This window comes from Homo sapiens, chromosome 2 (genome assembly GCF_000001405.40).
Source record: "Homo sapiens chromosome 2, GRCh38.p14 Primary Assembly".
Classification (NCBI taxonomy): domain Eukaryota; kingdom Metazoa; phylum Chordata; class Mammalia; order Primates; family Hominidae; genus Homo; species Homo sapiens.
In genome coordinates, this window is record NC_000002.12 from 179966345 (window position 1) to 179989190 (window position 22846).

The 22846-nt window shown below is 34.1% G+C and overlaps 1 protein-coding gene across 5 annotated transcripts in view; it reads right to left on the bottom strand.

Moving 5' to 3' along the window:
- Nucleotides 1-22846, bottom strand: part of CWC22 (CWC22 spliceosome associated protein) — a 62422-nt gene that overhangs the window by 21469 nt on the left and 18107 nt on the right. For 4 of the 5 annotated variants that reach the window (NM_020943.3, NM_001376033.1, NM_001376029.1 and 1 more), the window contains exons 3-11: nucleotides 22233-22300; nucleotides 20351-20461; nucleotides 15408-15653; nucleotides 11846-11974; nucleotides 7290-7458; nucleotides 6849-6902; nucleotides 4597-4732; nucleotides 4306-4512; nucleotides 4157-4219 (exon numbers count right to left, since the gene is read on the bottom strand). In NM_020943.3, the coding sequence (NP_065994.1) occupies nucleotides 4157-4219; nucleotides 4306-4512; nucleotides 4597-4732; nucleotides 6849-6902; nucleotides 7290-7458; nucleotides 11846-11974; nucleotides 15408-15653; nucleotides 20351-20461; nucleotides 22233-22300 (1183 nt within the window). The remainder of the gene's footprint in view (nucleotides 1-4156; nucleotides 4220-4305; nucleotides 4513-4596; nucleotides 4733-6848; nucleotides 6903-7289; nucleotides 7459-11845; nucleotides 11975-15407; nucleotides 15654-20350; nucleotides 20462-22232; nucleotides 22301-22846) is intronic. The other variant, NM_001376032.1, reaches the window with a different exon arrangement.

Sequence of the window (22846 nt, forward strand, 5' to 3'; positions counted from 1 at the left end):
GACAGTCCATTACAAAAAGTTAAGGCTAGATACAGAAAACAAGAATTTAGGCTAAGAATGTACTTGGAAAGACAAAGAAGGGAGAGAAAATAATTGCATAATTTAGTGTTCACTTGAAATAAATAGTAATGAGATTTTTATTAAAATACATATCTCTAAATTGAACATTACAATAAATTCAAAGACTTTTCATATATAAAACAGAAACAGAAGTTTAAAAGCCTTTAAGACAACTGGTAAGACAAGCACTGTATTAGATGATCACTTTTAAAAATACAAATGATATATTCAGAGCTGGATGAAAATAGTGATGTATATGAGACTACATAAGGCCAGTCATTATGTTAAAAGCAAACAAATGACAAAAACTAAAATTATATTTTGTCCAATGGTGCTCTGTTAGCCTGATAAAAGACTTTGCATACCTGACCAACTCTTTACTTTCGCATTTCTATTATAATCAGAGGGTTTTTAATACAAAGTTCTGGGACCAATTCACTTTAAGAAAAATTCTAATTTCTTTATATTTAAGCAGTATAAATCAGGAGACACATAATGAAAGTTAGCAGAGAACTTCACATTATGAGACACAAATCATTTTACAAAAATGAAGAGTAGTCATGCAGCCCTTATCTGACATATAAATCTCAAGAATATTTCAAACAAATGTGAATTCAAGAGATAATCTGAAGTATCTAGTTTATTACTATGCAACATGGCTTAGACAGACTTTTAAAAGAAACTATTTAGTATTCAATAGTAGGAAGACAGGCATTCCTGCTGTTTTCCCAAACGCTGTTAAGAGCTAAAACACAAGTACACCTGGGTCAGTCGAAGGTGCTAATTACTAAAGCTGTGCCCACTTCCTGCTGGGGCCATTTTTTTATGCCAGCTCTAGAAGAATGTTTTACAAAACAATGAAGGTCAAATGAATTGTCTAATCATTTACATCATCCTCTTCTCATCTCTCCACTTTAGACTCTACTTATTAGTATCACTTAGGCAAGGACAATTGGATTTCATTAACTGAATAAAGGAGTGGTTTCAAAGCATGGTCTAGGAGTCCATCGGGGATCACTGAGACCTGTGAGGTGGTCTGGAGGTCAAAACTATTTTCATAATAATACCAAGACAGTATCTGCCCTTTCACTGTGCTGACATCTGTGATGATGATCCAAAAGCAATGGAGGTTAAAACTTCTGTAACCTAAGCACTAAACAAGGCATCAAACTTCACTAGTAATCAATGTATTCTTTACTGCCACCCTCTTGAAGTAGAAAGCCAGTTTCATCTGAGAATGTCCTTGATGAATTTTATTAAATCTCAGCCCTGAATATAGGACTTTATCCTAATCTGAGTGATGAAATATAAAGTTCATATATATAGCCCTTCTGTTAAAGACATATATACAATGGTGACAGTTATGTCAAGGAAAACCACTTGTGTGACTGCTTGCTTTGCAAGATGAATTAGCTATTTTTTTCATTTTTACTTGAAAAAAATGGCCAACTAACTATAGTTGTTAGATATTTGGCCAACAATTTCTCAAATGCAAACAAACTGAGACTGTCACTTTGGGGAAAACAACTAACAATATCTGCGATGATGAAAACATTAGGGTTTTCAAGAATTTTGAAAAACCTATATCCATCTCTGTGAGCTTGTGAGTTCCCCGACACTTAGATTTTTTTGGACGAGAGCGGTGGTAATATTATTAAATGTGCTATCTAGGTATTATATCAACATGTTAATTTGATCTTGATAATATTAATGTTAACATTTAAAAGATGTGCATAACTCAGCGAATTAGTATTTTCTAAATGACTAATGCAACATTACAAAATCATGCATGAGTAAAAGATTTATTTAAAGTGACAAATGGATTCTAATGCAACACTATCAAAGTTCATTGATATTGTTTCAGAATTCACACTGCAATTAATCTTAAAATTACTAGTTGTTAAATATTGGCATTTATCTGAAAAGGCTGTTAAAATATTGCTCCCTTTTTCTAACTACATATCTATCTGGGGCTAGATTTTCTTCACATACTTCAATTAAAACAACCTACTGCAATAGATTGAATGTAGAAACAGATATGAGAGTCCAGCTGCTTCCCATTAGGCCAGACAGTAAACTTTACAAATAAAATTTTATAAAATATATATATAATACAAAATATAAAAAACACCATTCTCACTAAATTTGTTTTGTAAAATAACAATTTTTCTTTTTTTTTTTGAGACGGAGTCTCGCTCTGTCGCCCAGGCTGGAGTGCAGTGGCGTGATCTTGGCTCACTGCAACCTCCACCTCCCCAGTTCAAGCGATTCTCCTGCCTCAGCCTCCTGACTCGTTGGGATTATAGGCATGCACCACCACACCCAGCTAATTTTTATATTTTTAGTAGAGACAGGATTTCACCATGTTGGTCAGACTAGTCTCGAACTCCTGACCTCGTGATCCGCCCACCTCCGCCTCCCAAAATGCTGGAATTACAGGCATGAGCCACCATGCCCGGCCCGTAAAATAACGATTTTCATAAAAATATGTAATTTATGTTAACATATACTAGGTTTGCTATTATTCTGAAATAATTTAATAAATATTCTTTTATATTGTTTTAACCTTTAATATAGTAAATAGCAATAGATACAACCCACATAAAAAGAAGCTCTTTGGAGTTGCCAATAATTTTCAAGAGTGTAAAGGGATCCTGAGACGAAAGAATTTGAGAACTGCTATAATAAAAGAAAGTACTACTTTCCAGGCATTGGCCAATTGCCTAGATGCTAAAGAAATGGATAGAGAATTCTCAAGTTTAAAAAAGAAAGAAATCAAATCAGGTGTATCTAAGAATTTCACAAAAAACATTTGGCATTTTTCAGGGAGACTGTAGGAAAAGAGGTTCATAAGAAAAGAAGGCAAAATGGATCTATGGAGTTCTCTGTTTGGAAATGAAATTATAACAGAAAAAAAGAATCTGGCATATTACAGTGAAAAGCTCCTAGGAAATCAGCATCTAAGAAGAGAAACTCATTATTATAACAGGTTTTTAGGATAATGCAGAGGAATGGAAGATTTCTCCCAATTTTACTTTTCATTTCAACCTTCTACTTCTAAGCACTACTGAACAATGGAATGCAGACAGAGACAGAGTTCTAGGTTTCTGCTTTCTCTGTATATGAGACTACATAAGGCTGGTCTTTATGTTAAAAGCAAACAAATGACAAAAACTAAAATTACATTTTGCCCAATGGTGCTGTTAGCCTGATAAAAGATTTTGCAAAGCTAACCAACTCTTTACATTTCTATTATAATCAGAGAGCTTTTAATACAAACTTTTGGGGTTTAATACAAAGGTAAATTTTATTGCTTCCACAGCAATAAATACTTCTCCAGTAAAATTACAACTCAAGAGAAATAAGCCCATAAAATTATTATGTAAGTAGGCCTGAGTGTTAGCTTTAGGAGGAAAATAATACAAATGTGAAAATAGTAACTAATAATAGCTATCATTGTAGGTGATAATACACAACACTGTGTTTTATATATCCTTCCATAGAAAGGTAACATTTAGTCTTCCAACAAACAAGTAACTTGCTACAGGTCACTCAGCTAGTAATGTCAAAGATAAATTACACATCAAAACCTGTCCAAAGTTAGTACTTACAATATACCAATGATGTACAAATGAAAATGATCAATTTATTTTATCAGAGAGGCACCAATACTATGATTCATCCTACCAGAAGGATATTAACCTGACCTCAAGAAACAATAAAGTATAGCACTTTACAATAAAGTATACCACTTAATTGAATACTAAACTGGGTGGCACAGAATGTAAATGGTAGAGAAGCTAAATAAAGGCCACCACTAATCTATGAATATTTCTTAAGATGGGTGAGACGTAAGTGTTGCATAGTTTAGAGGGAAAGAGGAAAGAACAATGGGGTAAGTAATTCAGAATGAAGTAAAAAACCCTGGGCAAGCACCAGGAAAAAAATAATGCCCGAGGAAACAGCTAAGAGAATAACTTTATAAGAGCAGCGATTCATTAGGTGGGGATCTCTAAATATTTGCTATCAGTATTACGTAACTACTTAAATTGCTTCTACTTATCCAAACTAAATTATTTTATAAAATTTTACATACCTTTCTTAATAGCTTTGTACTTCTCTTCATTCTCCATAAAATTAGGATCCATCTTGAAAACATCTAAAAAAAATGTAAAAGTTAATGTTTATTTTCTATATTTACATTTGTTGGTAAGCCTCTTTCCAACTAACATGCCCCGGACTTACTAAGAACATCTTCTGGATTATAGTCATCCTCCAGAGGGAGCATATGAGTGAATTGATCATCTTCTTCCACCAAATCAAGACCTTCTAGGATAATGGGGTGGTCCTTGAATCCATCTTTCCGTACAGCAAACATCACTTCAATCATATATTGAACTCTTTTGTCAATTTCAGACTCATGCAGAATGTTTCGAAGGCGTTCAAATATAGCTAAAAGTTAACAGAAAGAAAAGACAATAAAATAAGCAATAAATATAATAAAAACTTAACATCAAACTATGAATGTACACTTACCATTGATTCCTCTTGGTGACACTTGTGTTAATTTGAGGCCACATTCCTTAAGAAAACCAATAGCTACTTCAACGCTATCATCTGTTGGTCTTTCCAGGAGCAAAGTGAGCATCTCTAAGCATAATACTTCGTGTGCCTTAAATAAAATACATATACAAGGAAGAAACAAAATGCTTTTACATACATTAAATTATTTTTATAATTTCTAAAAATTAGTAAATCTGTTTACAATAATTATATTGCACATATGATGGGCAAAGTTTTATAAAGCACATGGAAATACTCCAAATATGGGATACAATTTTTCTATCACTTTTATTATCTGTCTACTAAGAATTTTCAGATGACTGTTTCAAAAATCTTAATTTTCTATGCTGAATACAACTATTTGAATTATCTTCAGAAGAAATATTCTTAGCCATTATGTACGGAAAGTGTCATAGATAAAATATGTTAAAAATCATATACTACTTTCTAATAAGGTAATTATTTTCATAATTACTACATAAGAAATAGTAATATGATTTATAATACCCTTCTCCATGATCACAATTCTTTATATACATTTCCCAATTCATTCTATCAGCAACTCTATTAGACACAAATAGTCCTTAAGTTACATGAATACTAATTTTATCACAAAATATCTTAACAACTTCTGGAACACAACAGTTTTGAATAGTCTATCTTTTTTTAAAAAATTAAATCAAACTATTACTGGCCACGTTCAAAAACTGACATTTATAAACAATGCCAGGAAGAGTGGGAATAAAATTCTATTGAGAAGTTTGCTAAGAGAAGAAAACGAACAACAAAGAATGTTTAAAACACCATACATATGCCTTTCTAAAGTCAGACAGTGATTTAAGATGGTGAGGAAAGAAGTCTAAATCTCAACTCAGGAGATATCTTCTTCCAGCTGTGCACAACATCAAAGACACCCACTACTTCTTTTTACTAGGGGAGGAGGGGTGTCAAACAGTCTTAGGTCAGTGACAAGAAAATACTGCCCTGTACCACAGCTGGAAGATGCAAAAAATTTATCATATCGAGTGTTTCATGGCAATGCCAAAAATCTCTAGTCTAAGTGTAATACACATTTAAAAACGGAAATATATCTCTGGTTACAGATGTGAAATTAAGTTTCCATGGTCTTAAGTAGCAAGTTATCACTGTAATAATATGATGACTAATTAGGTCAAAATCTAAAAGATTTGTAAGAGTGAAAGAATTTTCATGTAAATAAGAATCAAAATATTTAATATTAGTGAAATAAGACTAAGCATGACTTTAAAATTCTTCCTGTTATACATGATATTAAATTGGAAATGATAATATATATCTGAAGGAAACTTTTGAGTATGAGCAAGGACAATTTTAGCATTTTCATGGTTAAATAAAAGCTAAATCAAAACCATCAAATAATGAATATAAAATAAACACAAACTGAATAACAGCATGATAAAATTACCTGCATTTGAAACAGATTAAAATCGATCAACTCTATTCTATCAAGTGATTCTAAAAATATATGACTATACCTGTGTGGTTGCAAGGAATAGAGGTTTTTGTAGAATATCAGATATTTATTAGATTCTCATGAACAGCAGGGAATGAAGTGGAGGAGATACCAACTTTATTGTTTTATAAAAATGAAGGGAATGGTTCTTCAAAGGAATGGTTTGCAGTCAAGTAACCATGTACAGTATTAAGTCAGATTAATTTGATAAATATCTAAAGTGTTTTGATCAGCATCAAAGTGTTATATTAAAGAATATTAAATATGGCCAGGCGTGGTGGCTCACACCTGTAATCTCAACACTTTGGGAGGCCGAGGCTGGTGGATCACGAGTTCAGGAGATCGAGACCATCCTGGCTAACATGGTGAAACCCCGTCTCTACTAAAAATACAAAAAAAACTAGCCGGGCGTGGTGGCAGGTGCCCGTAGTCCCAGCTACTCGGGAGGCTGAGGCAGGAGAATGGTGTGAACCCAGGAGGCAGAGCTTGCAGTGAGCCAAGATTGTGCCACTGCACTCCAGCCTGGGCGACAGAGTGAGACTCCATCTCAAAAAAAGAAAAAAAAAAAGAACATTAAATATATTTATTATAGTTTTAAAATGAAAATATCATCCAACATTTTTATCCCAAGGACTATAAAGCAAAGCAAAAATAGAGAGGTATCAGTGAAGTGGCATCAACCCTCTGGTCTAATGCCACTGAATGGGACCAAGTATTGAAGATAATTACTTACCACATTTTGGTTAATAAGATGCGCCACAAATTTTGAAGCAGTCAGGCAAAGTTGCTGAAAAATAAAGGTGGAAAGTTAACCTATAAACTAAACCCAATTTTCATTTATTTACATAATCTATGGCCTACTAACATCATCTATTTAAAACATGTACCACACAAGTATAATTTTTACATTATAAGAAAGTTACAAAATAAAACACATGAAAGAGTATCCCTTCTGGTTAAATAGTTATAGTTCTACAGTTATAGCCATCATTTTTGTGGCTCATCAATAGTGGCCAGGGATATTTAACAGATCAAAGAAGTTCTCATGAAAGACAGTTTTTAAAAAGCATTATGTTATGTAGCTGTGTCAAAATCAACCTTGCTTACTTTTGTTGATACTGGTTTGTTAGTTTGTTCCTATGTATCATTCTACTTACAAGCCATTCATATATACCTTGTCATTTCTTCGATAGCCTTTTCGAAAATTAAGAATTAACCTTTTGAGGATTAATTCTCCAATTTGTGGAAATTTTGAGTTGATAATTGCCACTAATGCTGCATAAACATGGGTGAAGATTGGAGAAGCACTCTGTGCTTGCAAAACAGACCTGGACAGCAGTCCTCTGTTTAAAAAAGAATTTAAAAAGGAGTCAACAATAATCACCAAATTAATTAAACGAAACAAAAACTATTAAAATTCAGTAATATTTCTCTATAAGTAATCATAAAATCTAAATCAGAACTAACTGGAAAGAGTTTGTCTTACTAATAAATAAAAATTGTTTTTCAGAAAACGAAATGTGAATTTGTGATTTTGTAAAATAGAATGAAGATTTTACTGCAATTTATCACCAAAATTTTTCTCTCTACATATAATTCCTCTTTTCCCAGTCTGTTATATCTAATCATGAATTTGAACCTTAAAAAGGTTCATATAAATAATTTCTTTAACATTTTTTAAAAAGTAAACAAAAGCAGACCTGCTTCAAAAGTATAAAAGGTAGATAACATAAAGTTTCTACTACAGATCTGTCATTTTTATAAAATTAATTTTGTGATTAAAGACAAATTTGGGTTTAAATCTTTAAGTCTAATTTTAGTAGAATAAAATGAAGATGTGGAATACTCCTGTGAGAAATAAAGAAACGAATTAAAAGCAATGCCAGATTAATGCTAAAACAGTAACAGGAAATTAAAAGGTACCTACTTGTAACTCATTTTGAAAATGGTCATGTTTCTATATGCATTTGATGAGGAAGGGGAAAGGCAAATTGGGCAAACTAAAGTTACTTTTAGCAATGTAATGACAAGTAATTATTGGATTGCCAAAAGTCAGGAAAAAAAGTCTTAATGGTAGTTTTAGATATGACAACTGAATCACTAGAGTGGAAAATAAGAAAAAGGATGCAGCTTATAAATTATAGTATCTTTAGCAATCCATAACTCTTCTAAGTCTACTTTTTTTCTAAGTAAATTGGAGAGATCTCTGCCCACTTTTGAGGATAATGGCTGTCTCTTGATCAACTTTCTCTACCTCTAAAACTTGCTGCTCCTACTTTATACCCCCACCTTTTTTGGAGAGGTTGGGGAGAGACAGGGTCTCACTCTGTCACCCAGGCAGGAGTGCAGTGGGGCGATCTTGGCTCACTGGAAGCTCTGCCTCCTGGGCTCAAGCAATCCTCCCACCTCAGCCTCCGGAGGAGCTGGGACTACTGTGTGCCACCACGCCCAGCTAATTTTTGTATTTTTCATAGAGACAGGTTTTCACAATGTTGCCCAGGCAACTCCTGGACTCAAGTGGTCCTCTTGCCTCAGGCTCCCAAAGTGCTAGGATTACAGGCTAGGATTACAGCGACCGTGCCTGGCCACTACATTCCATATTTTTTTAAAGATGAATCATAGTCATGTAAAATGACATGAGAAAACAGCCCTCAGATTTTAAAATAATAAATACAACATGGAGTAATTCTATTTTCTGACCCTTTTAAATATCACCAATTGCTTAAAGCCACATATTCTTATAGAATACGGTGATTCCCTTCTGCTTTTCTAAAATGTATTGCTCATCTTTCCCATTTCTCTCACATTCCCATTTCACTCTCACTAGAAATTAAATTGGAATAAAGGCCATATATGACGAACCCATAGCTAATATACTCAACGGTGACAAGCTGAAAGCTTTTCCTCTAGGATCAGGAATAAGAAAAGGGTGCCTACTCTTTCCAATTCTATTCAACATAGTACTAGAAGTCCTAGCCAGAGCCATTAGGCAAGAGAAAGAAATAAAAGGTATCCAAATCAAAAATAGAGAAGCCTGTTTGCTGTAAACAGGATCTTAATATAGAAAACCCTAAAGACTTAACCAAAAAATTGTTAGAACTAATAAACTAATTTAGTAAAGCTGCAGACACAAAATCAACATACAAAAATCAGTAGTGCTTCCATATGCTTACAATGAACTATCTTTCTGAAAAATCAAGAAAACATCCCATTTACAATAGCTATGAAAAAAAAAGTTAGGAATAAATCTAACCATGGAGATGAAAGAGCTGTACACTAAAAACTACAAATTGCTGATGAAAAAATGGAAGAACATGCATGACATCCCATGTCCATGGACTGAAATAATATGTTAAAATGTCCACAGTACCCAAAGCAACATACAGACTGGACTCAATCCCTATCAAAATTCCAGTTACGTTTTTCACAGAAATAGAAAAAACAATCCTAAAACTCACATGGAACCACAAAAAACTCCAAATAGCCACAGCAATCTTGAACAAAAAGAACAAAGCTGGAGGCATCACACTCCCTGACCTGGAATCTGCTACAAAGTTATAGTAATCAAAACAGAATGACAATAGTATAAAAACAGACACATAGAGCTACAGAGAACAAAGAAACCAGAGATAAATCCAGACATTGGCAGTCAACTGATTTTCGACAAAGATGCTAAGAAGACACAATAGGGAAAAGACAGTGTCTTCAATAAATGGTGCCAAGAAAACAGAATACCCAGATGCAGAAGAATGAAAATAGACCTTAGTCCCACAGCATATACAAACATCAACGCAAAACAGATTAAAGACTTAAACATTAGACCTGAAACTGTGAAACTACTATAAGTTTCTAAAAGAAAAATACAAAGGAAAAGCTCTGAGACACTGGTATGGTTAATGATTTTTTGGATATGACCCCTAAAGCACAGGCAACAAAAGCAAAAAGAGACAAATGGGATTACATAAAACTAGAATGCTTCTGCACAGCACAGGAAAATATCAACAGAGTGAAGAGATGACCTACAGAATGGGAGAAAACATTTGCAAACATACACCTGATAAGGGGTTAATATCCAAAACACATTAGGCATTCAACTCAATAGTAAGAAAACAAATAACCCAATCTAAAAAATGAGCAAACAAGAACAGACATTTTTCAAAAGATGTACAAATAGCATATATATATATATGAAATGCTAAACCTCACCAATTATCAAAGAAATACAAATTAAAACCACAATGAGACATCTCACAACTGTTACAATGGCTGTAATAAAAAAGATGAAAAATAGCAAGTGTTGCCAAGGACATGGAGAAAAGAGAATGCTTGTACACTGTTGGTAGAAATATAAATTAGTACAGCCATTATGAAAATAGTATAGAGGTTCCTTAAAATATTAAAAACAGAATTACCAGCCAGGTGCGGTGGCTCACGCCTGTCATACCAACACTTTGGGAAGCCAAGTCGGGAGGACTGCTTGAGCTCAAGAGTACGAGACCAGCCTGGGCAAGATGGCAAGACCTCATTCTCTACAAAATATTAAAAAATTAGCCCAGTGTGGTGGTGAGTGCTTGCGGTCCCAGCTACTTAGGATGCTGAGGTGAGAGAATTCCTTGAGCCCAGCAATTCAAGGGGGCAGTGAACTATGACCATGCACTGTACTCCGGCCTGACAATAAAGCAAGACCCCCATCTCTAAAATAAATCAATATAAAAAAAATTTTTTTTTATTGTAACTACCATTTGATCCAGCAATCCCACTATTGGGTATATATACAAAGAAAATGAGATCAGTATGTTGAAGAGGTATCTGCACTCCCACATTTATTGCAGCATTATTCACAATGGTGAAAATATGGAAACAACTAAAGTGTCTGTTGTGAATAAATGGATAAAGAAAATGTATACATGTATAATGGAATACTATTCAACCATAAAGGAAATCCTGTCATTTGGGAAAACACAGGTGAACTTGGAGAACATTATGCTAAGTGAAATAAGCCAGGCACAGAAAGACAAATAATGCATGACCTCACTAATATGCGGAATCTAAAAAAAACTGAACTCATAGAATCAGAGTATAAAATGATGGTTACCAGAGGCTGGGGGTTGGGGGAATTTAGATGTTGGTCAATGGACACAAAATTTCAGTTAGACAGGAGGAATAAGTTCCAGAGATCCATTCTACAATATTTTGACCACAGTTAATAACCATATATTATATACTTGAAAGCTGAAAACAGAGTAGATTTTTAAGTGTTCTCACCACAAAAAATGACAGGCATGTGAATGCATGTTAAACAGCTTGATTTAGTCATTCTACAAAGTACATATATATCAAAACATCATGATGTATACCACAAATATACACAATTTTTACTTGTCAATTTAAAAAAGAAATAAAAAATTAAATTAGTTTGAGGTAGTATATTTTAACATTCGTTATTCCTCATGAGTTTAAATTACTGGAGGCATTAAGTAAATGTCTGCAAAAACCATTATGTGAAATCAAAGCTTCTCAAAAAGCAAAAATTCCATACAACCTCTAACAGCAAGGCACAAGTTATTTCTTAGCAGTCTATATTTTTATAAGTCCTGCATTTTAAATAAATATTCTCAATGACCTTTGAAATGAAGTAGCACAATAAATCAATGATTATTGTTCATGTAGATATTATATTCCTTTGAAAAAATACTTAGAAATACTACAAATAAAATAGCCAATACTTACCTTCCTCTAACTATATTTTCTTGAAGAAGCTCTTGAATAATAATACTTATGTTGGAAATGTTGACTTTGTTGATAAGGCCATTAATTGACTTCTTCAGGGCCTCCCAACTCATCCTCTGGTATGCTAAGCTAAAAAGAAGTGATTTTAATAAAGATTAAAACTTAATTACAATAATAAGAAGCTATAAGAACATAAAAACTACATAGTGCTCCTTAATTTTTGACATTATTTTCATGAAACGACCCCCAAGTACAGTAAAATATATGATGCCTATCAGGATAAATAGATTATATCCTGAACCATATTTGATTTTCTATACATATGCTTAAGTATACACCATTTTTCTTTAATAATACAATAAGATTATGTAAGGATATATAAGGATAACATTTTGTTCTTATGCCTAGTACATTTAATTTATTAGTCAAATTCAATACATGCTTATTTTACATATAATGCTTGATTTAAACTTGTCTTTAATGGAAACCTTTAAAATAAATGCAATTAAAAAAATTTAAATGGTAACATGAAATACCCAAATATAAGCCACAAAAAAAATTTGTATGTCCCTTCTCATAAAAAGATGACAGAGACAACAAAATTAAATGTTTTAAGCCACAAAGAAATGGTAACTACAGGAAAAGGGAGTCACATGAAATCATGGGGCTGAATTACCTACCATTCAGTGTATTTTAAAGACAATCTCTATGTTGATGTAGTAGTCCTACAGCTATACCAGTTGAATGTTAGATAGCTGTACTGCTTTTTACCCTAGATTTTGGGGAAATTACTTGGCCTCATTGAGTTTCTTTAGGTTGAATTGGACAATGTCTAAGATCTTTCAATGCTCTACAGTTCTATGGGTTTTGTAACTGCTTTTCTGTGGAATCTGATTTCAGCTGCAGGAAGTCTTAACCTTTTTTCTTCCATACATGTCTCTCTCGGGAAGTCTGGTGAAATCAGTAGACTTTTTGGGATGATATATACAATGAATAGGATTACAAAGGATACTAATCATACTAAAATTCAGTTTTTGAAACATGAGAAGAACAAAAGTTTGATATAATATTCTATGTGCTTCATAACACATTAAACAAGAACTGGCAGTATGCTTAATAACTACTTAAATTTCTAAGTAGCATGGCCATAATCCGTATCATGAAATACCTGTAACAGACTGTCAATACTCTGATCTATTGCCTACATTCTCAAAAGAAAAAAACAAAAGCTAAACTTTAGAGATGAGTAAAAATAAAGATTCAATTTTTTCCCCAAACACATTCATGGACTGATTGCTTGAATTCTATTCATGGACCTCTTGAGGGGCTTGTAGGTTAAGAATCCCTGTTCTGGAGTGGTACAAGGAAGGTTGGTGAGAGCAGTTCTTGGTGGGAACGAGTATTGTATCACTGATATTGTTTAGTATTGCTAGCATGGTGAGGATAAAAAACAGACTCACTTTGCGGTTAATTTTATTTTGTTTCTAAATTCTCTATAAATTATGTACCCCCTTACTGCCTGTACCCAAGGTGGACTATTCCACTGTTTCATAACTCCAACCTTTTGGTATTCCACTATCTCTAGACACAAGATGCATGGCTTAACAAGTGGCCTGATTAATAAGATGTTGCTCATATACAATCACAACCTATCTTATTAAACTAATCAAACGGCTACATCAAATACAATTATACATCCTAATTAGGAAGCCCACAATTCACGTATCTACTGAAAGCAAAGACTATGGCCTTCTCTTACAGATGTCTACTTCTCCTTGTACCCTTTACAGCCTACGAACAGACTTCAACTGTATATAAAATTATCTTAAAGGAATCTGCTTTAAATTGCATGTATTGCTGACTCTCCTGTGTGCTTTATTTAAAAGGAAGCAAGACTTGGACTGACAAAGTTTCTAGTCTTTTACAATCAGGATTGCTTTGGACTGGACTGGAGAAAGTGAATACCTTTCAGTAATGCTGCCACTACTGCCTTGTGCATGAGCAAAACGTTTACATGATAATGAAGGTCCTACTAACCACAGAAGCCATCTCCAAATTCCTTTTCAACCTAACACTTCAAATATCACTGCCAAGCGCTAAAATATGACACATAAAGAAAAACTTATTAGTTTTGAATTTAATGTCACCAAATACCCCTTTCTGGCTCTTAAATTCGGTTTTAATTTATTTCAAATCTTCATAGCTTCTTTTAGATAAATGACATTTCTTATTTTTTTTTTTTTTTTGAGGCAGAGTCTCTCTCTGTTGCCCAGGCTGGAGTGCAGTGGTGCGATCTCGGCTCACTGCAAGCTCCGCCTCCTGGGTTCATGCCATTCTTCTGCCTCAGCCTCCCGAGTAGCTGGGACTACAGGCACCCACCACCACGCCTGGCTAATTTTTGTATTTTTAGTAGAGACAGGGTTTCACTATATTGGCCAGGCTGGTCTCGAACTTTGGGAGGCCGAGGTGGGCGGATCATGACGTTTCTACTTCAAGCTAATCCTTGAAACAAATTTAGATTTAACTTAAATAAGCTTCTCAAGCACTTTTCAAATTGCTACTAAAACACTCATGAAAAGATGTGGAAATATTCCTGTCTGGCTCACCTTGCATCTGTTTTTCTTAAATTATAACTATTAATACCTTCTATCCCAATCTTTTAACTAGTTATCTGGCAACTGAATAATCATTTCAATCTGGGACCATACATTCCCTAGTTATCAACTCATCCTATTAGAGAAAAATATCTTAAAAACTTAGCTGTACTTTCCTAAATAGCTCCTCACCATCTCAATTATTCTGAAAAGGGAAGGAGGAGTGTTTTAAGTGTGATTGTTCATATATAAATTTTGTCTGTCTGCCTTAGAGTAGCAAAAATGTATAGTCTAATAGATCATGATCTGAAGAAAATGTACAAAAAGAGATAATTGCCAGCTTCAGTTTTATAGGTAAGTACAGAGGTTGGCAAACTACACCCATGAGCCAAATGCAGCTGACCACCTGCTTTTGTAAATAATGCTTTATTGGAACACAGCCATGCTTATAATTTTCTACACAATGCCTATGACTATTTTCACATTTCAAGAGCGGAGTTAAGTAGCAACAACAGAGACAAAATGACTCACAGTGTAAAATATTTACAGTGTGGGCTTTTACAGAAAAAGTTTGCTGACTCCTGGTTTACAACAGGAAAAGTCAATTTTAGAACTAAAATGTCAGTATTACTCTTTTCTACAAAAAACAGACATTATCAATAGGAATGCATCCATGAAACTATGAAAGGAACAATAGTTTGAACATACTATAAAAAGGGTAAGCAATCTTTTCCTCAAACTTTTTAATTCATTCATGCAAAAAAAAGAAAAAAGAAGTAATGTGCTAATATAAGGGCACGTAGTGTGTGGCTCTCCAATGGAGCTATAAAGTAAAGAGGTCTCTAATTTGAGGTCTCTATCACTATAGACTAACGTAAATTCTCAAGAACCAGGGTTAATTAAACCACAGTTGACTTATTTTTCAATGACAATTTCATGGCTTTGTATACTGATTGATATAAACATGCCTGTTTTTATCTGTAATCTGTTCCTGCATCATCCTGAGCTTTGCAGGGGGAATATATGCTCCACCAGTGCGAGTAAGAAGAGGATCCAGCTCATCTTTCTTTTTCTTTGTAGCAGGTTCATCCTGAGCAGAGGAACTCTGAGTTACTGATGTTTCTGGGTTTCTCCTCCCAGGAGATGGGGATTTCCGAGACCTTTTCCGATCCGTATCTCTTTCTCTTTCTCTGCGTTTTTCTCGGTCCCTGTTTCTGTAATATAAATTTTTTGAAGAGCAGAAAAGACAATATAAAACACACTCTTAGCAATTAACTGCACACAAATGAGTGAGACCATAAGTGGGTCCCACAAATTCAGACTAGGAAAAGTGGTTTAGAATGGTGACAAAGTGTTTCACAGAGAAAATTCAACAAATTAGGTCCTGAAGGCTTGACAGGATTTAGACTGGGGGCAAGTCGGCAGGAGGAAGGGGAGACGAAGGATGACATTTTGCAACTAGTAGAAGAGGGAATAATTATTGAAAGACTGAGCAGGGGTGTTAAGGTCAGAATGAGTAGGACAATCAGGAAACAAAGGATTATGTGTCATGGTTGTTGGAAAGATGAATTAGAGTTAGACTAAAATCTTAAAACATATGTAAAGACTTTAAGGTTTTTATACTGGAGGTGATGGGGAATCATTAAAAGTTTCTCAGTAGGAGAGTGGCATGAAAAGAGTGTTTTAAGAAGACAAATTAGCCTGTGGTGTATATGACAAATTGTATAAAGGAGAAGAAACCAGAGTTAATCTCCAATAGTGGTTACTTTAGTTGTAAGACTACTATAGAATATAATATTTGAAGTTGTTTCTTGATAGAACTAATATTTTCATTAGAAATCTCAGAATATTGGAAGCTTCTGCTTATTTGAGACAATGTGGGGGGAAAAACTTTTCTAGCCACAATGTCTTCCCTACTAACGTACCTGATTATCCTTTCTTAAGCTGAGGCTTTTAAAACAATCAAGGTACAGTTCTCTGAAACCATCAAGAACTAACGGGAAAGAGCGAATTCTTGCTTTTTGCTATCTTTCCCCAGAGCAAAGTTTATCCACTGAGCTGCTTTTTACATATACTGCCTTGGAAACCCAGATCATTCTGTTTGTGTTTTGGGTAACCATGAGTTATATATAATATAGTAAATAAAAGTAAATTTCATATTATCACTGCATTACCAGGAAACTGTGGTATAGATTTTAGCTAAATCTAAGGAGTATGTTTGAGATGGTCTTTTAAATATATAGTAATAAAACCTACACGGAGATTGAAAAGCAGTCATCTTCCCAGGTAGCTGTGGAGGAACAGATTTTTTTTGTTCATTTGTTTACTTTTATTTTAAGTTCAGGGGTACAAGTGCAGGTTTATTACATAGGTAAACTTGTGTCATGGGGGTTTGTTGTATAGATTATTTTACCACCCAAATATTAAACCTAGTATTCATTAGCTGTTTTTCGTGATCCTCTTCCTCCTCCCACCCTCCACTCTCCCTTCACCCTCCATAAGGCCCCAGTGTGTGTTGTTCTCCATGTGTTAATGTGTTCTCATAATTTAGCTCCCACTTATAAATGAGAACATGTGGTATTTGGTTTTCAGTTCCTGTGTTAGTTTGTTAAGGATAATGGCCTCTAGCTCCATCCATGTCCCTGCAAAGAACATAATCTCATTCTTTTTTATGGCTGCATAGTATTCCATGGTGTATAAGTACGACATTTCCTTTATCCAGTATATCACTGATGGGCATTTAGGTAGATTCTATGGCTTTGCTATTGTCAATAGTGCTGTGATAAATATACACATGCATGTGTCTTTATAATATAATTATTTATATTCTTTTGGGTATATACCCAGTAATGAGATTGTTGGGTTGGATGAACAGTTTTGAAACTGAGGTATAAGAGACTTAAATGACTCCTAGGGAGGATAGACAATCTGTATACACCAAGAGTGAACAGATGGGGGAAAGAGTGATTTCAAATATCAACCTCAATTAGTCACAAAGGCAGATGCTCTAAGTTCTCTACACTAATTTGCAACTGAATTGCTTCTTCTTGTGAATATACATGTTCCAAGAGAGTAGCTACAGCAGGGATTTCCTGACATTGGTTATGATTCTTCTGAGAAACACCAGGTAAGAGAGCTAGCTGGCTGATAAAATCAGATCCCTACCATTATTGTGTTTGTTCCTTTATAGTGCAGAAGTAACAAAATATTCTAAAAGTCTAAATAGAAACATTTTTGGACTGTTAGCCTTTATGTTCTGCATAATACCTAGCCTGCTTACTTCATAGTGTGACTGTGTGGATAACATGAGACTTCATTTTCATATACTAGACCTAACATAGAGTTATACTGAAGTACAACAGTCAGGGATTGTGAAAAATACAGAAGCTTTGGAGCCAGAACTGAGTTCAAATTCCAGTTTCAACATCTACCAGATGTTTAAATGCAACCTCAGGTAAGCTACTTAATAAACTCAAAGCCATTTCCTTATCTGTAAATTGGAAAAAATAGTATCTAGTTTCTAAGAGTTTTAACAGTATTTGGGAAAATATACAAAAAGCTTAGCTTACCAATTATGGTACTAGTAGTCATTCTCATTAAGGTGACAGCAGACAAGCCTGGATTTTGAAGGTTAATATAATCTGACATTATAGGATTAGGTATATACTAGAAAGTGATGAGAAGGAAATTTTTGGCTGTGGATATCAAAGGATGTGCTTAGCTCCAAACTCCAAACTGCAGAGGAATTTGGTCAAAATTCCTGTGGGGGGTATAATATTGGTAGTAAAGGGGTGGATAATATCTGAGAGACATCAAAAAAAGATATTGATTTTAGTCAACGATAAACCATGAGAGTCAAGTTTTAGAAACTAGATGACTAATAAGGGAATACAGGAAAATCAGGAGAAAGCTGGTTTTATGAAAACAATGACAAAGGCAGAAAGATGTCTATGAAGGGATAATGAAAATGGTTGTTACAGAGACAAATCACAGTTCCTTTATAAAATACTAAAATAATGTTAGTTTTGTAAGATTAATTAGAAATACATTCAGAATCAACCACGTTGTTCAACAATAGTTTACCTGAACTCTTCCACTGTTTTCCATATAAAGTGCCAAGGGTTCACCGCTTATCACTACTCAAACTGATATGCTCAAGAAACTAATATTTTAAAGTTGTCATTTTCTTAGTATCTACTATGTTCAGACATGGTAGTAGGACAGACATTATTTTTAAACCTAAACAACCAGACAAGATACATGTTATCATCCTCATCTTATAGATAAGGAAACTGAGGCTCAGAAGAAGTTTGTTAAGAAATTTTACCAAATTTCTGTAACTAGTAACTAAAACTTGAACTCTAATCTGCATGAATATGGAATCTATTCTCTTTCTACTATGCAACACCACCTCATTAAAAAGTGTAAAATATAGACATCCCAAAGTCAATTTCAAATGACCTGGAAATTGTCTGCATCACTACTCCTCTCCTAAGCAAAGATACATGCAAGTTAAGGAAATACTACCCATATAGTGACTTCTGTTTTAAGTACTTGAGAGTATTTCCATCTGCAGAATGCTAGTTAACATCTCTTCCCTATATTGAGCATCTCAAGTATCTGCCCCACTATTTTCTTTGAGACTACCATTACTTCTACCTGGAGAGTCTCTCCCCACATGTACTAAGTAACTTTTTAATTCCATTATACCTTCTCCTGAGCAAATACAGAGGCCCTTTAGTGAAGTTTTAAAGGGAATTATTAAAACGCCGACATCTTTCTAACACAGTAGTCACCCCTTATCTGTGGTTTCACTTTCTGAGGCTTCAGCTACCAGTGATTAACCACGGTCCAAAAATAAGTGACTACAGTACAATAAGATATTTTGAGAGAGGCAGACCACATTCGATAACTTTTATTAGAGTATATTCTTATAATCGTTCTATTTTAGTATTAGTTACTATTGTTAATCTTTTACTATGCCTAATTTATAAATTAAACTTTATCATAGGTATGTATGTATTGGAAAAAACATAGTATATATATATATGGTTCAGGTATTATCTGCAGTTTCAGGCACCCACTGGGGTCCTAGAACACATTCCCCATGGATAAGTGGGGACTGATGTATTCTCACTGTAAAAACTATTACTAATTTCTACAAGGGAGAAAAAGAATTGAAAATAAATACATATCAATAACAAGGGGTTATAATACTCTGCCTAGATTTCAATGAAACATGAATGGCACTTAATGTCTGACTCTTCTTAAATATTACCCCTAGGAGTCTCCAAACACTCTCATTCCAATGTTTCTTACCATCTGCCTTCCATTCAGTTCCCTTGCCCATTTCTCAACCAAGGAAATATTGCAAGTCTTGTTAGCCACAGGAACAGGTGGGTAACCAAGTTCTCTAAAGCTCAAGTAAGAATCCTTCACATGTAGAAAAAAACTACAAATTGGAAACTTAAGTCTCAATGTCCCTCTGCCATTACGCAGGAAAGTAAATTTAGACCACTCTATATCATACAATATAAATTTCTTTCATTGAGTAAAGAATCTCAAAAAATCACATAAACCAACCCCTCTTGCGGTACAATACAATGAATGAGCTTGGGCTTTAGAGTCAGACAGACTTAGGCTTGCCACTATTATGTTTCAAAACATGAACAAATTACTAAACTTCTCTAGACCTCAGTTTCTTCAGCTGTAAAGCAGACATACTAGCACCTACTTCACATATTTACTGCAATAAGAAGTTAATTCATATAAAGCCCTTATTAGAAAGCCTAGCACCTAAAAACATCCAATTAATGTTAGCTAGTATTATTTTTGTTTTTATTACAAATGTAGCATAAAGAGAGTTTAAACAAATACAATTTTCTACAAGTTAGAAATTCCCAACACTAACCGTGACTCCATGCTACTATCATAAGAACGTCCTCTTCTTGAATGCTCATAGTCTGATCTGCTGTAATCAAAGTAATCTCTATCCCGGGGGGATCGTTCTTGTTCTTCATATCTAACATAAAATAAGAAAACCAAGTTGCAAATTAAAAACAACTATGTTATAAATATTTAGGAAAGTCATATATTGGTAATGGTAAAGCAACTCTATGACTGAACAACATCGTGTCAAACTGTTCTTAACAGCTCATTTTGCTAACACCCATTCATTCCATCAGAATTACAAAAGCTTTCAGTTTGTACACAGCAAAACAACTCCTAGGATTCACTTAACCAAACTTACTTGTTTAGTGAATTATCCTGATTCACTTTGTTCTCAGTAGGAGACATATATCTGGATATCATATATAGTTAGCATGAAAAAGGCTATCCTACAAATGACTCCTTTTGCTTAGTTGGCTTGTTTATCAAAACACTGAATGTATGAGACCAAGGTCATTGGCTGGCCTCCATAAGGATCAGTTTAATTCCATACCAAAAGACCATATTCATCAGCTGTTAATCTTGAAAATGCATTACTGGACAGCAATGAGAATGGATTGAAATTATTAGCAAACAAGGATGGATAGCATCAGATCTGTTATTTGAATCTTAAAAGTCAATAAAATCAGAGAACCTTAAGAGAAGTTAAATATATACATAATAGATACATAGTAACATAATCCATATTTTATATACACATCTACAATTAAGTTATACACACAAATACCTGTGTGTGTGTGTGTCTGTGTGTAAAGAGTTTTTTGTTTGTTTTTTGTTTTTAAATATATAGGGAGTAGACAATCGGTGAAAGATAGTAAGTAATTATGAATCAGGGCAATTAACTTGATGTTCACAAAGCAAAGTTTTTAGAGATTATTTAGCAGAGTAGAATAAGAAAGTACATGTGGAGTAAGGAAGCCTAGACAACTGGAAGAAAGTTTGAAGGGTGCTTCTTCCTTCATAAATTATTTTTAATGGGCATAAAAAATTTTTTTTACAGTCATTATTTTTAATAGACCATATGCTTAATGGTCTTTCAATGATCATAAATGAAATAATTGTAGTGCTAATATGAATTCATAATGCACATTAATGTTAACATTTTTGGATCGCTGACCTTAACATAGTTATAATATGATATAATCCAGCGGTCTCAAACCTTTTTGGCAACAGGGACTGGTTTTGTGGAAGACAATTTTTCCACAGATGTTAGGGGGTGAGGGGATGGTTTCAGGATGAAACTGTTCCACCTCAAATCATCAGGCATTAGTTAGATTCTAATAAGGAGCACACAGCCTAGATCCCTCACATGCACAGTTCACAAGAGGGTTTGTGCTCCTATGAGAATGGAATGCCACAGGTGATCTGCCAGGAGGTGGAGCTCAGGCGGGAATGCTGGCAGGCCTGCTGCTCACCTGCTGTGTGGCCTGGTCCATGGCTCTGGGGGTTGGGGACCCCTGTTATAATCTATATAAAAATATTTTAAAGACAATACAGAGCTATGTACATGTAAGAGATAATACTAACAGTAGCAAAAGCAGCACTTCTGAATACTGTAATTTCAACTCAGTTTTCCATTTTACACTTTCATTCCATTAGTCTTTGAAACATTAAAAATTACTCCCTTTCACATAAAAATTACATAATATCTGGAATTATTTACTAGAAACTCCTAGAAGAGTCATTTAAGGATGATTCCTCCTACAGCCCATTCAAGTAATATTGGTTATAAAACCATTAAAAAGAAGTTATCCACCCTAAAATTAGAAATCTAAGAGCTAAATTATTACATAAACCTTACTATAAAAATTTACATTGCATTCAGAGCATATTAAACTATTTACCTGTCTTCTGGAGAGGAGTTCCTCTGATATGAATTAAGGTTTTCCCTTCTGTCATGACCAGAAGAAGGCTTTAAAAGAGGAAAAGGGGAAAACATTTCAAAAATTATTTATGTTAATAACACAGACTGAAATACATGGCTTAGAAAGTTGGAAGTACTTTAGAAATTGTATCAAAACATTTTTTAAATCATTAAGAATAATTCATGTAACCTAAACAGTCTATAAGATAAAACAAAATCTTCAGACCATCCCAGATAGGCCTGTCTGTGGCAGGCACCTGTTTTCATTATGGACCAAAAACTTCTTTTTTTTTCTGTTTATTTTTATTTTTTATTTCTTTTTATTTTATTTTTTATTTCAATAGTTTTATGTGGAACAGGTGGTGTTTGGTTACATGGATAAGTTCTTTAGTGGTGATTTCTGAGACTGTGCTGCACCCATCACATGAATAATGAACACTGTACCCCAATGTGTAGTCTTTTATCCCTAACCACCCCCCTACTCTCCCTGACCCTTTCCGCTGAGTCCCTAAAACCCATTGTATCATTCTTACGGCTTTGCAGAACCAAATACTTCTTTCTAGCCAAAAAAATTCAAGGTAGAAAAAGATAATT